The 15,620-nt window shown below is 36.1% G+C and overlaps 1 long non-coding RNA gene across 1 annotated transcript in view; it reads right to left on the bottom strand.

The window, feature by feature from the left end:
• DPH5-DT (DPH5 divergent transcript) overlaps positions 1-15,620 on the bottom strand; it is a 61,534-nt gene that overhangs the window by 12,713 nt on the left and 33,201 nt on the right. The window lies entirely within an intron of this gene.

The following is a 15,620-nucleotide window of genomic DNA, read 5'->3' as shown; positions in this document are numbered from 1 at the left end:
CAGAGAAATTTCCCTTTACCCTTTTCATCAGAATAAATTAGAACAGATCATTGGAATCTGTTTCAAACAAATAACAACTTTCCTAGTGTTTTTGGAATGCAAAGACTAAAATGTCTAAATTGTCACACAGAAAACCATACAACTCAGATTCCTAACACAGTTTTATGAATGAAGAGCTGAATCACTTTGTTATGTACAAAGGACTAGATAAATGCCACAGAAATGCTATAATCCTGGGGATTAATTCTTTTATTACTATTTAACTAAGTTGTCCTAGTGATTTACCAGTTCAAATGTGATATTAAATGCTATATTGTATGTTGCTCCATACTTGATTTTAAATGAATCAAATGCTTAATTACAGTATTTGGAATTTTTTGTTATTTTTAAAGGATTTTTAAAGTTTTTATGTACTTGATAGTAAGCTGAACACTTACGTTAGCTTCAGTTACACGATTGTAAGATTTTTTATTGTACAATTATTCTTTTAGAATTGAAATTTATACCAACTTTTGCATGTCTCCTTCCCTTAAACAATTGTAGGTCCAGGGAAGGAGGGTTCAATATTTTTATTGTCCAAACCTAGATCACATACACACCCCTGAAATCAGAGTACAGACAGCTGATGTTCAGTGTAGACAGCTGTCTAAACAATAAGAACTCTATGTATCAGGACAGGTGCTGTTATTATCCTCCAAATCTACAATACAAGTGTTGATTTATAAAAGATTTGGAGGGATAAGGCTTAAACATTAAAACAACAAGCAAATATCCCAGTAAAACAAAGCTGCAAATTTCAATCTATTCCTTACACAAGAGTCAACTATTCAATGAAAAATTTCAAGAAAAGTATAGGGGTTTTCCACTGCTTTGAAAGTATTTTGATAACACATAATAATATCCAACTTTGGAAATTTATCACAGCTATCTAAGAAGCTCAAGGTACCACTTCAAAGAATTATCAAGAATCACCTAGCATATTTCCAAAACCTGAAAAATCAACTTAGTTTACAAATTGTTAGACTATGAGTTTCTTCAAGACATGGACCACCTTTCTCCTCATGGTTTGCTGCTACCTTGCACAAATTAGGCACTGAGTATATGAAGGAGCATGGCAGACTGAAGTCCTACACCTACCAGAAGAAAGGCCACACACCCTTGTAGTCACATAGCTCCATCCTATTGGCCAAAAATCAATGGCCAGATGATCAAAAGCAGTGGTTCCCAACTGGGGATGATTTTACCCCCCAGGGATATTTGGCAATGTCTAGAGTCATTTTTGGATGTCAGAGATGTGCAGGGATGCTGTCATCTAGTAGGTAGAGGCCAGGGATACTGCCAAACATCCTACAGCACACAGGACAGCCCGCACAACAAAGAATTATCTGGCTGGAAATGTCAGCAGAGCTGAGGTTCAGAAACGCTGATCTAAGAGTTAATTGAATATTTGGCTGGGCACAGTGGCTTACGCCCGTAATCCCAGCACTTTGGTAGGCCAAGGCAGGTGGATCACTTGAGGTTAGCAGTTTGAGACCAGACTGGCCAACATGGTAAAACCCCATCTCTATTAAAAATACAAAAATTAGCTAGGCATGGTGGTACATGCCTGTAGTCCCACCTACTCAGGATGCTGAGGCATGAGAATCACTTGAACACAGGAGGCAGAGGTTGCAGTGAGCCGAGATCATGCCACTGCACTCCAGCCTGGGCGACAGAGTGGGACTCCATCTCAAAAATAAATAAATAAATAAAATAAAATAAAAATAAAATAAAAGTTAATTGAATATTCATGACGGCATCAGACAGTCATCCATAGCGGAACACGCTAAAATATACCTTGTTTAAGTTAAAAAAATTTCATTGCAAGATTCAGTACTCATCTTCCAAAACAGAAAAGCTGCTGGAATGAAAATGTGGAAGTAGAATGAAAAGCCTTCCATTTTCTCTCAACGAACACAATTTTTCATACATCTTCATGTTTATCACCACATGTGATATATTCAGGAACTGTGGAAGAACAGAAGTGATAATGATATGCTGATACATAAGGAGTCTCATGTCACCTAGAAAGTAGACTGACATTTGTTAATGAGACATTTAAAGAGGTCAAATATGGAAGGGCTAGATTTGTATTCAATATCTGGCATAAGAACAGTGAAACAGGAAAGGTAAAGGTAATAATGGTAAAGCAGGTAGTTAACATCTTTTATGTCCTCTCAGTCTGCCAGATACAATGCTACAACACCTTATGTGTATACTCATTTAAATGGTAAGATCTATCAATCTCAGAAGTTAAGTGTTTCAGAAAGAATATGATTTGATCATTTCTATAAAAATTGTACTATAACTTCCATTTTACAAGTCTCACTCCTCCACTAGACTGGGACCTTCTGGAACCTGCCCTCCAGAAGGTCCCAGTCTAGTGGAGTGGGACTCGTAAAACAGACTGAAAAAGTAGAAGTCCTAATGATGTCTTATTTATCATTAGGACTCATTCATCATTAGGACTCGTACTATACCACCAAATAGGCTTTTCATTAGAGATTAAGAGAATAAGAGTAACACTGTGCAACAAAACAAAAATCTAGGGGAAACCATCTAAAGTCCTCCAAATTCTAAGGAGAAGAGAGGTTATCATAAGTCTAGTCTGTGAGTTCTTCCATGAGCAAGATACTTCATTATCTCTGTATTCACAGTTACTAGTGAAGAGTCTAACACAGAGTAGACACTTAATAAGAATATTTTAAATTGAACTTGAGACTGTAAATATTTTCAAGTGTTTCCAAGAAAGGGAAATGTGATCCTCTCCTTTACATGGATCTTGACTCAGCAAATACAGTTACTTCTTTTTCTCATGTGTACTTGTTTACAACTCTTATGTGGTTCCTGCCATTTACTGTTCAGCTCTGATAACAACAATGAATGGCACTCAGACAAGGTCAAAGGGAGGCAACATTTTGCTTGAGCGATTTCTTCATTCAGCTATATATGTCAGTGTGGATGCAGAGTGGGTTACATAAGTAATGACAAATACTCCTTTCTTAATTCTAACACAGAGATCTACAGCTGCCCCATTAGATTGCTGCCTTATCTGGGGAGCTATCCTGTGGTGCTGCAGTGGATACTGTGGAAAAAGGAGGAAGCAAAGAAGTGGAAACAAGACAGATGTGCCAAGGCAGAAACTACACTCTAATTTTGAGTATATTATTTAGATACCACCATCAATCTATCCTCCTGATGTTTTATCAACGAAGACAAGACTTACATCTCTTCCCTTTTTTAGCCACTCAAAAAAGATCTCACTAAACTTCAAACTCAAGCATATTGGCATAATAACAGCAACTATTAAGAATTTGCTTCCTATTTTTTGACTTAGAAAAGATGTTTTCTTCATTATCTCCATGAACTAATATTTATGAAGTACTCTCATGTATTGTACATGCATATCTATCATATACTACTCTGAGAAAGTTAGAGAAGTTCCTGCCCTGTGGGGGTTTTTGTGTGTATTGTAGGGAATGAAGGAGAGTTAAAAAAAAAAAAAGGCCATATTCTCTCCCTCTCAAATGTCTTAATCAAAAATATTATAACCGGGCACAGTGGCAAGCGCCTGTAGTCCCAGCTACTTGGGAGGCTGAGGCTGGAGGATCGTTTGAGCCCAGGAGTTCAAGGCCAGCCTGGGCATCAGAGTGAGACCCTGTCTCTAAAATATTATATATACATCATATAGTCATATATATATATATATATAACTGTAACTTGACAATATCATAGATCTGACCAGACCAAATGATAAATATATACCTCAGAATATGGAGTGGGTGAGTAAACATAAAATATCACTTTCACAGTTCTTTTAACACAAATGATTTATAAATTTATTGATTCTAAGATGACAAAAAAAGTGTCCCTTAGATAAGCTCTGGTCACCTAGGGTCAGTTTCCAACAACAGATTCCTTCTCAGTATACTACCCAATGGTGAGAAGACCCCAAAGTGGACAGCCGGAGAGCTGCAACACATGCAAAACACTTGCAACCCTTCTTGTTTTCTTATTTTTCCTGTTTTCATTGGCAGAATTTTTTCCTTGCTCAAAGCAGAGCTGCAAATGAAAGCAGCTGCCCAAAGTGGAGGAAGTTCAAAGACCAGAGAAGAAAGAGAAAGGAGGTGGGGGTCAAATGAGGAAAACAACGGAAGACAACATGAAGACTATTGGCAACTCTGTCTTGTATGAAAGTCTAAAGCAGAAAACACACTTGTGGACAGATGGACTGATGGCAGCTTTCGGCAAAGCGATGTACCAATAGGCTTTCAAGTGACTTAACAACTGAGTGTTATATTTTTAAACAGACTTGAAAACTTATAACAATCCCAAAGCAAGAAATATTTCTAAATATTTTCCTCTGAACTTTTCTGATGGTCACTTTTTTTGGTTCCTGTCATATATTCATTCATGTTTCTGAATCATGCTACAGATGAAAATCTATTTAAAGTTATTGCATGAGTTTCCTTGGCTTTCACTACTTAAAGATTATCAGGAAAATACAGGTGTAGTTATTTTGGAATCTGGCTTCAATAGGTACATTTAGAAGAATTTGTATATATTTAGCATTTATTTTTTAACTACAAGGTTTAGTGCTTCATTAGATATTAAAATTTAATCTTGAAATTCTTATAAAAGGATTATAGTTAAAATATTCATTGCAATTAATTATTTTATTTTTATGCAGAAATTAAAGAAGTAAAATAAATACAACTTATGGGACATTTCAGAATACATTTTTAAAATGTTTTAAAAATATATAAATACCCTACTGTATTTTAGGATTTTTAGAAATATTTTATGCAAAATTAATTTACTTATATTTTAATGCTAACATATAAATTCTAGAATGTTGCAATTCCAAAACTGAAAAATTCACCGGAGTGCACAGATTCTGGAAGACAACTTGTTTGAATATATTTTTGCAAGTTCAAGTATCTAAACTTTTAGACAAAAACTTTTCTATTGCCCTAGCTTCTTTAAAAAATATATTTACAAGCGAGAATAACTGCAAAATGGGACCTAAAAATGTTTGCTCTATGTAGAAATTTCATAAACGTTAACTGTAGAGCGGTAAACACTTTTTACAGACTGACCGCTAACTCCAGAAGCCTTTTCTTTCAGTCAACACTTTCCCACCGTGAGAACCATTTCTCATTAACAACTAAATTGTTTTCCAATGCTGTGCTATAAGGGGTTTCCTTAGAAACCATTTGGTAAAAGACTGTGGCTTTCTTCCACAGAAATCTCAAGCAGTGAAAAGGCAGATTTTCTGGCATAAATCAAACCCAATTTCTAGGGTTCACTAAACCCTTTCTCCTCAAAATAATGTTTTGTGACTTGATCTTAGCAGTTAATAGAACACGCAGGAGAGCTGGTGTGAACCAGTTTTAAATGAATTTTATTCCATCCCTTTTGTCATTCAATTGAAATCACTTTGAGGGCTTGTTATACCTTGATAAAGGTTTAACTGCACAACTAATGGACAAGATAATACTCTTTACTATGTGGCAAAATGTATAATTTTTTTCCCACCAAATGTGCTCTGTGAATTAATCTTTGTATTATTAGGACAATGTTATCTGTTCTGATTTCAGAGTTGTTCTTGCTTATAAATATACTATTTAAAATAAGTTGTGGCAACACAAGTTTCTGTGCTAAAAACATAAATATTTCATCTGGCTAATATATATATACATCTACCAATAGCATTGTAGAAAATTTCTAGATGCAAGTAGATTCATACGAAATACACAAAAAGAAGCATGTGTACCAACAATTATGTCTCTAGTGTATATGTGACAGAGTACTTTAAATGAAAATCCAAAATTATTACTGGAATGGAATAATACATTTCCACATCTCTGTGCCTTCTGTATACATTGTTCCCTTTACAAGCAATGTGCTCCTGCCTCCTAAATTTTACTCCTGCCTTAGACATTGTTCAATCATCCCCTCATTCACTCATCCATTTATTCATTCCATACATTTTTACTGGGCACTGATTATTTGCTGGATTCTATGCTAGATGCTGGAGTGAACAAGATAATGCCCTTTCCCCATTTTCCCGTGGAGCTAATGGTCAAAAGTGATTCCTTCCCCCTTCTCTGACTTCCTCGGACAAAGATAATCATTTCATTCTTGGTCCTACCATCATTCATCCATTAAACAAGTATCTAATGAGCAACTACTATATAGTAGGCACTTGCCATATCATCTTGCAATTATTTATTTACGAATCTGTTTTGAGGAAAAAGCCTTTCTATATCTTTGTATTTTGAGGACCTAATACAATTCTGGAATATAATAAATGCAAAGTAAATGTTTATTGAATAAATAATTGAAGTAAATGAAACTATTCTAGCTAATAGACTAGATTTTCTCTTATTTGAAAATTATCAATAATATACCATAAGTTTACAAAAATATCAGCTCTGCTTCACTAAAAACTTGCACTGAACATTTTAGAGATGTGAAAGATGGAAAACCTGAGAAATAGTCAAGCTGTTCTAAGACTTTTTGACAACTAGAGCTTCTGCCATATTACCAGGCAAGTCTTTTCCAAGATTGAATTAATATGCTTATAGGATGATCCATCTAAGTTTGAAAAATAATTTAAAGTAGAAATTAGTCTTCATAACCCATTTATGCCTGAGGTTGCAATTTTTTGAATTTTTGCATAAAATTCATATATGTAACCTGCAAAAATTTAAGGAACAAGAATTTGAAGAGAAAAAGTTTTTATTGTGTTTCACATAATGTTATGTGGCAATCAAAAAATGGAACACCGGGCATAAATGGCTTGGTTAAGGCCAGTATTGTGACAATTTGGTTTGAGGGCATTTTAGTTAAGAAATGCAATCCTCACCTACAGAATGGGAGAACATTTTTGCAATCTATCCATCTGACAAACATCTAATATCCAGAGTTTACAAGCATCTTAAACAAATTTACAAGAAAAAACAATCCCGTTAAAAAGTGGGCAAAGGACATGAACAGACACTTCTCAAAAGAAGATATTCATGTGGCCAATGAACATATGAAAAACAGCTTAACATCACTGATCATTAGAGAAATGCAAATCAAAACCACAATGAGATACCATCTCATGCCAGTCAGAATGGCGATTATTAAAACGTCAAGAAACAACAGATGCTGGCGAGCATGTGGAGAAATAGGAATACTTTTACACTGCTGGTGGGAGTGTAAATTAGTTCAACCGTTGTGGAAGACAGTGTGGCAACTCCTCAAAGATCTAGAAGCAGAAATACCATTAGACCCAGCAATCCCATTACTGGGTATACACCTAAAGGAATATAAATCATTCTATTATAAAGATACATGCACACATATGTTTATTGCAGCACCATTCACAATAGCAAAGACATGGAATCAACCCAAATGCCCATCAGTGACTGATAGACTAGATACAGAAAATGTAATATTCCATGTATCCACCATGGAATATTATGCAGCCATAAAAAGGAATGAGATCACCTCCTTTGCAGGACATGGATGGAAGTATAAGCCATTATACTCAGCAAACTAATGCAGGAGCAGAAAACCAAACACTGCATATTTTCACTTATAAGTGGGAGATGAACGATGAGAACACATAGAAACATTGAAGGGAACAGCACACACTGGAGCCTGTTCAGGGGGTGGAGGGAGGGAGAGCATCAGTAAAAATAGCTAATATATGCTGGGCTTAATACCTGGGCAATGGGATGATCTGTGCAGGAAACCACCATAGCACATATTTACCTATGTAACAAACCTGCACATCCTGTATATGTACCCCAGAGCTCAAAATAAAAATTGAAGAAAAAAAATGCAACTTTCTACTTCTAAAGGCATCTCCCTGGGACTGAATGCCCAAAATATCTTCTGTAGACTGTAAACCTGACAAGATCTGCCATCCTACCCCCACCTCTCTAATCTCATTTCCTGCCACTCTCTCCCTTCTCATCCTGCTCCTACCAAACTAACCTCCTTGCTATTCCTTGAATATGCCCAGCAATTCTGCCTCAGGATATTGGCACTTGCTGTTACCTCATCTGCTCTTCCTCAGATACCTTCAAGGCTCACTCCCTCACTCCTTCAATTCCTTCAGGTCTCTGCTCAAATCACCTTTTCAGAGAGGCCTTCCTTGACACCATATCTCAAGCAGCATACCTGCCCCATCCACTGTGGATCACTCCCTAACCTTCTCAGGCTGCTTTAATTTTTCATAGCATGTATCACCATCTGACATACTATTTACTTTTGGGTTTTTTGTCTGTCTGCCCTATTAGAATTTAAATTCTAAAAGGCTAGAGATTTTTGTAAATTCTACTAGCCATTTTGTAAACTCTACAGGGCTAATATTTTGACAATATTCCTAGTGATTAGAAATGTTTCTTAAACATAGAAAGTACCCCATAAATATTTATTGAGTGAATGAATTTGATCAATTTATCTGTAACTGTATACTCAGTATGAATTGTCTCTATTGTGGTATATTAACAGCTAAGGACTAATATGGTAATAGAAACCCCCTGAACTTATACATTCAGAATTTACTTTTTTGAATATCTGATATGCCCTTTGTTACTGACTTAGAAGCCCAAATTTACTTAGTAAAACTGTAGTTTTGTCTCCCCAAATCATCTTGCCTCAAAATCATTGCATTAGAAAAGGCAGTTCTGTGAACACCAACAGATTTAAACATTTAAAAGCCTATATGAAACATATAGCCTATATGTGAACATTTAAAAGCCTATATGAAAATGGGGATGGTAGAGGGGACATGATCCTTCCCATAGATAGTTTTATTCTAGTGGAGAGCCTCAAAGTGAAAGTACTGTTTCCTCTGTAGAGAAATTCTTGTGAGAAAGTCTTAAGCATAGCTAATTAGTTCTGAGTGGAAAAAAAGCGCTCTAAGTTAGGAAACTCATTTCATTGACTATTTAAGGGAACTTTTTATAAAATCAGTTATGGAAATAAATCTGTGGTTGTAATATGTTTATTTTATTTTATTTAAATAAATAAAATTTATTTAAACATTTTGTAATATGTTTATTGATGTTTAGTTAAAGTCATCAAATGCAAGACCAATTATAAAGTTGTGAAGAAAAAGAATATCAAAAGTTTCTAAAACATTTTAATTTAAAAATATCAATTGCACAAATGTTCTAAATAAATGCTTCTACTATCCTTTTTTTTTTTTTTAAACAAAGACAGGGTCTCACTATGTTGTACAAGTTGGTATTGAACTCCTGGGGTCAAGTGAGCCTCCCACCTCACCCTCCCAAAGTGCTGGGATTACAGGCATGAGCCACTGCACCCGGCCCACTCATCTTTCTTTCCCTATTTCTGACAATTATTTGATGCATCTCAGACTTGCCTGTGAAATATTGATATATTAAGTTAGAAATAACCAATCACCTGCTTTGGATTTATATCAGGTATTCTCTTATACTAGATTATCATAGAAACGTAATAAAAGGAACCAAGGGCTTACTTAAATTTATGATAAAAATAAATTTGAGAATAATTTATTAATTAATCCATTTTCCTAGTTAAGTTGCTCTTCCTTGCTATATCCAGTTATTATCTTAGTTCTACAATCTGATTTTTCCAAAATTTGTTCATAGCATTTAACTTTCTCCCTCATATTCATGTACACACACGTGCATGCCCATCTGCACATGTGTACACACACAGAAAAGGGATCCTGGTCAAACCCACTTACCAGCTTTATCTATGACATCATATAAACCTTTCACCCCAGCCATCTGGCTGCCGTTCCAAGTCCTTAATTTTTTTTGAGCACCAAGAAGTTTTAATTTGCAACCTGCTATTGCTTTTAGTTTTAAACTGGCTTGGCATTCTCAGTACTAACTAATACATTTTGGGAATCAGCTGTCATATGAATGTCTTTTGACCTTCAAAATATTAAGAAGGTAGCTGGGTGCAGTGATGTGCGCCTGTAGTCCTAGCTACTCAGGGGGTTGAAGTGGGAGGATAACTTGAACTCAGGAGTTCAAGGCTGGCCTGGGCAACATAATGAGACCCCATCCCACCTCCCCGTCCCCACCAAAAAATTGAGAAGACTGCCAAACTTGGATTAGGTTAAGCAGCAGATATGTCGACACTTCAGAAACAAGGGCTAGAGGCCCGAAGCAGGCTAGTGTTAGGATGACTAACTCATCCTGTTTCACCTGGGATTCTCCCAGTTTTAGCACTGAAATTCCCAAGTTCCAGGAATCCCGAGTCCTGGGCAAAAGGAGACAGTTACCTCGTGAGTGAGAGGTGGAAGAAAACTGAAATGATAGCATCCTGATATTTTGGAGTAGTCCAATGAGCTACTTTGAAAAGAATGGTAAGTGTAGATGTGGTTTTGAGAAGAGTCAGGGCCAGTTAATTTAGCTGGTGAGGCAGGATGGCAATGACTGTAGACAGACATCAGGAACTGGAGCCCAGGAATCTGGACTGGGTTAATGTAGCCTTGGTAAGGAGCAACGTGATACAAAGCCTATGGTGGGAAAGACAGTCCAGGTTCCATTTACTTGATAGTACAGCTGGCAGTGAAATTCTCTCTGACCTGGTGGGAATGAGTTTGCTGATGAAGAGCTTCAGGTTGTATGTGTGAAATACAGTGGAAGATAGACACAGATAAAAGTAAACTCAAAGGAGCTGAAGGTTACATAGCTAAGAAGAGGCAGTGCTAAATTTTAAGCCCAGATCTTTCTGACCCAAAGTGTGTTGCTCAGGCAACCTTTAAATAAAAGGTTATGATATAAATTCTATTCATAGAAATCCTCTATCTAGTAGTAGTTTTGTCAATGTCATTTCCCATTTCCTAGATTATTAAATTCTTAGAGGGTAAAGACTATTCCATATTTATTTTTGTATTTTTAATTAGAAAAATACTCGGAAGACAATAAGCTTTTGATATATGTTGTTGAATTAAAGAAAATTAAATAAGACCTGCACATTCCTACCTCTTTGCCTTTACTCTTATTAGGTGTTTCTGCTTGCACCATAGAATGTCCTTCTTCAAATTCTGTTCAACCTTAAAGCCCAGCTTGAGTTCTAGAATCTTTAGGTCATAGAGATCTCTCCCTTGTCTGAAATCGGCCTCAGCATTGTATCTTTTAATGTATTTAAATCTTATTATTTTGAAGGGTATTACTAGTGGCTTTATATCCATCACTATTATGCTTACAGCAGACAGTCAATCAACACTGATACTTGAAATCAAAAGCAGAAGTCTGTCAATAAATCTGTTCTCTTAATCAACAATTCAAAGCAGGAATGAACATTCAAAACAGGAAAAGGATTCTAAACCTCCTATCAGCAGCCAGACATGACTATAGTCTAGGTGCTGCTATTAAGTGTGCAAAAGAATTCCATTTGTCCTTATTTTATTTTATTTTTATTTTGTGAGATGGAGTCTTGCTCTGTCACCCAGGCTGGAGTGCAGTGGTATGATCTCGGCTCACTGCAACCTCCACCTCCCAGGTTCAAGTGACTCTCCTGCTTCAGCCTCCTGAGTAGCTGGGATTACAGGCACACACCACTACGCCTGGCTAATTTTTGTATTTTTAGTAGAGATGGGATTTCATCATGTTGGTCAGGCTGGTCTCAAACTCCTGACCTTGTGACCTGCCCGCCTCAGCTTCCCAAAGTGCTGGGATTACAGGTGTGAGCCACCACGCCCGACCCCATTCGTTCTTTATAAGGGACTAAGTAGCACCACATCTGAAACTTAGAGACTGTTGCCATGTTGATAAAGTTATCTTTAAAAAAAACACTTGTTTATGAAAAGGGATTCTCAGCATTTTTATAAGAGAAAAAATTAAGATATAGTTGCTATCAAAGCTGTTAAAACTGGAATACTTGCAATAAAAACTAATAAAAGCCCAGTTACTTTGGGGGGCTATATTGCAGCAAACCAAGTTGTGAAAATCAAGTTTACATATTCATTATTTATAAGTGACAGACTGAGGGAACAAATGAAACAACAAACAAGTGAGAACTATACCACTTATTAAGTACAAAAGTGAAATGAAATATACACTTTCTACTTTTGAATCAAAATTTTTGCTTAACTTATTTTTGTTTTGTAATCATTAACACCTCTATTTTTTTTCTTCTTTTTTTTTTTTTTTTTTTTTGGGGAGTGCAGTAACGCGATCTCCACTCACTGCAAGCTCCGCCTCCCAGGTTCACCCCATTCTCCTGCCTCAGCCTCTCGAGTAACTGGGAGTACAGGCATGCGCCACCACACCTGGCTATTTTTTGTACTTTTAGTAGAGACAGGGTTTCACCGTGTTAGCGAGGATGGTCTCGATCTCCTGACCTTGTGATCTGCCTGCCTCGATTTCCCAAAGTGCTGGGATTACAGGCGTGACCCACCGTGCCCGGCCCCAATCATTAAGACCTCTAAACTGCAAAAGGGATTTCCTTTTCTTTAACCCAAATCTCTACTAAACTCAATTTTTTTTTCCACTAGGCTGGGGAAACAGTATATAACTGAGTACTGACTTGGATTTTGTCAGAATCAGATAGCTGAAGTAAGAGACACATTAACAGCACGTTTCCTCATTCCTGTTTTCAGTGCTGAACAACAATTTCTATTACAGCCCAAGATTATACTAGTGTGTGACACAGAATGATCCTGCTTTTAAAACAACAATGGTAAAGTCAGAGCAGAATTAGTGTAAAGTGAATGAAACATAAGTGACAGGGCGTCTCTGCACAAGCCCCTCCCAAGGCCCAGAGAGAAACACCAGCATTATATTTAGTGATCATACACTTTTGTACAATTTGTAACAGTAAGATATATTAACTGCAATCAATTAATACCAGCGTCTCTTTTCATTATGTCTTTTCCATTACTTCTCCTCATGGTAGGTATGTTGGAGTGGCTACATGAATGTTAATATCCACCTGGCTGGGCATGGTGGCTCATGCCTGTAATCCCAGTGCTTTGGGAGGCCTAGGCAGGAGGACTGCTTGAGGCCAGGAGTTTGAGACCAGTCGAGGCAACATAGTGTTACCCCTTCTCTACAAGAAAATTTAAAAAATTAACCAGGTGTAGCGGCACACATCTGTAGTCCTAGCTACTTGAGAGACTGGGGCAGGATGATTGCTTGAACCGAGGGATTTGGGGTTACATTAAGCTATTATTGAGCTACTGCACTCTGGTCTGGATGACAGAGTGAGACCCCATTTCTAAGATAAAAAAAAAAAACAACAACAAAGATCCAGCTAAATGGAGATTGAGTTAGGTATATATTTAGCTTGGATTTAATGGGATAGGCTTATGAGGCCTGCAGAGTCTTGTATATGGTTATATTATAACTAGCCAAGAAAATTCAAGACTGGCTTCTAGCAATACTTCTATCACCCTGAGTACTGACTCATCTAGAATCATGACACAAAGATGCAGGGCCAGAGGTGGTCATGGTATATGAACAGGTCCTTTGGTGTCGGGCACTGAAAGTATGTGGTTAAGTCAAGAAAAAATGAGAGAAGTTTTCTCAAATTTGACAACAAAATCTGAAAATTTTGGAAGACATAATTAATAACATGTTTATGACTTATAAGTGAAAAAGCCATCTTCTACCAATAATAACAAAATAAGACTTCTGATTCCACACATGAAATATTACCTGCTGTTATCATCTGAATGTTCATGTTTCCCCCAAATTAATATGTTGAAACCTCATCATCCATGTTATGGTATTAGAAAGTGGGTCTTTGGTAGGTAGATTAAATCATGAAGGCTCTGCCCTCATGAATGGAACTAGTGTCCTTATAAAAGAAGTCCCGGAGAGTTGCCTCATGCCTTCCACTATGTAAGGACACAGTGAGAAGGCACCATCTATGAATTAGAAAGCAGACCTCACCAGACACCAAATCTGCTAGCACTTTGATTGTGAACTTCCCAGCCTTCAGAACTGTAGAAATACATTTGTGTTGTTTATAAACCAATCAGTTCATGGCATTTTGTTATAGCAGCCCAAACAGACTAAGACATCTGCCATGGGCATTGCACTTTCACTGTAAACAGCTAGTAAACCAGAAAAAAAATACGTAAATCAAGTTTTCAGATATATCCAAGAATCTCAATGACTCCAAGCAGAAGAAACAATGAAAACCACTCTAAGGCAAATCATAATCAAATTGCTGAAAATCAGTGATAAAGAGAACATCTTAAATGCCCAGAGGAAAAAAGACACATTATATTCAGGGGGACAAAGACAAAACCGACAGCCAATTTCTTATCAGAAGCCATGCAGACCAGAAGATAATGAAAAGACCTCTTTAAAGTGCTGAAAGGAAACAGAACAAAATAAAACTGTCAACCTACAATTCTGACCCAGTAAAAATATCTTTCAAATACATAGGGAAAACATTGACTTTTTCAGATGAATTCTTTCAAGAGAATTTATCACCAGCAGTCCAGCACACACGTTCACATGAACACACACACAAATACACATGCACGGGTACACATGTGCACGTGCACGCACACACACCCACCCAACTGTAAAAAGAAGTTCTGCAGCCAAAGAAGAATGATACCAGATAGAAATATGGACCTACAGCAAACAATGACAAGCAACAGAAATGGTAAATATGTGAATATATATAAAAAATATTTTTCTCATTTTTAATTTCTTAAAAAGATATTTATGTCTGTTTAAAGCAAATAATAATGTATTATGAGGTTGATACTACATATATAGCCTTAAAATGTGTGACATAATAAGAGCATAAAGGATAGGAGGAGTATTATAATTTAAATGTCGACTATGACAAGTTAAAGATATGTACTAAAAATAAATCAGCAACTAAAAAAAATCGTCAAATAGTAGAAATTAAATACCCAATTAATAAGTTTTTTAAAAGAGAAAAAAGGGAAAGACCAGATGAGATAAATATAAAACAAATAGATGGTAGACATAAAACAAATGGTATCAATAATTATATTAATTCTAAATGCTCTAGACACTATAATTTTAAAGTATGTCAGACTGGATTTCTGAAAAAGCAGGATCCAACTATATGCTGTTTACAAGGAATCCACCTTAAATATAGAGACAGAGATTGGTTAAAAAGAAAAGAATATAAAAAGATATACCTTGTAAATATTACTCAAAAGAAAGGCAGAGTAGCTATATTATTATCAGCTAAAATAGACTTCAGAACAAGAGATATAGTAGATATAGAGAGACATTTCACAATGATAAAGAAGTCAATTAATCAAGAAAATATAACAATCTTAAAGTACATGCATCTAATAACAGAGCTGAAAAATACATAAAGCTAAAACTAACAGAACTTGAAAGAAAAATATATAAACCTACAGTTATAGTTCGATATTCTAACACTTCTCTCTAGTAAATGAAAAAAAATCATTAAGCATGTAGATGACCTAAACAACACTATCAATCAACTTGGCCTAATTGACATATATAGAACACTCTAACTAATACAGAATATCCATTCTTTTCAAGTGCCAATGGAACATTCACCAAGAAAAAACAGATTTTGGGTCACAAAAGAAGTCTCAATGAATTTTT

Source organism: Homo sapiens, chromosome 1 (genome assembly GCF_000001405.40).
Source record: "Homo sapiens chromosome 1, GRCh38.p14 Primary Assembly".
Lineage (NCBI taxonomy): Eukaryota > Metazoa > Chordata > Mammalia > Primates > Hominidae > Homo > Homo sapiens.
The sequence above is the reverse complement of the archived record's forward strand: the minus strand, read 5'-3'. Positions and strand labels throughout refer to the sequence as shown.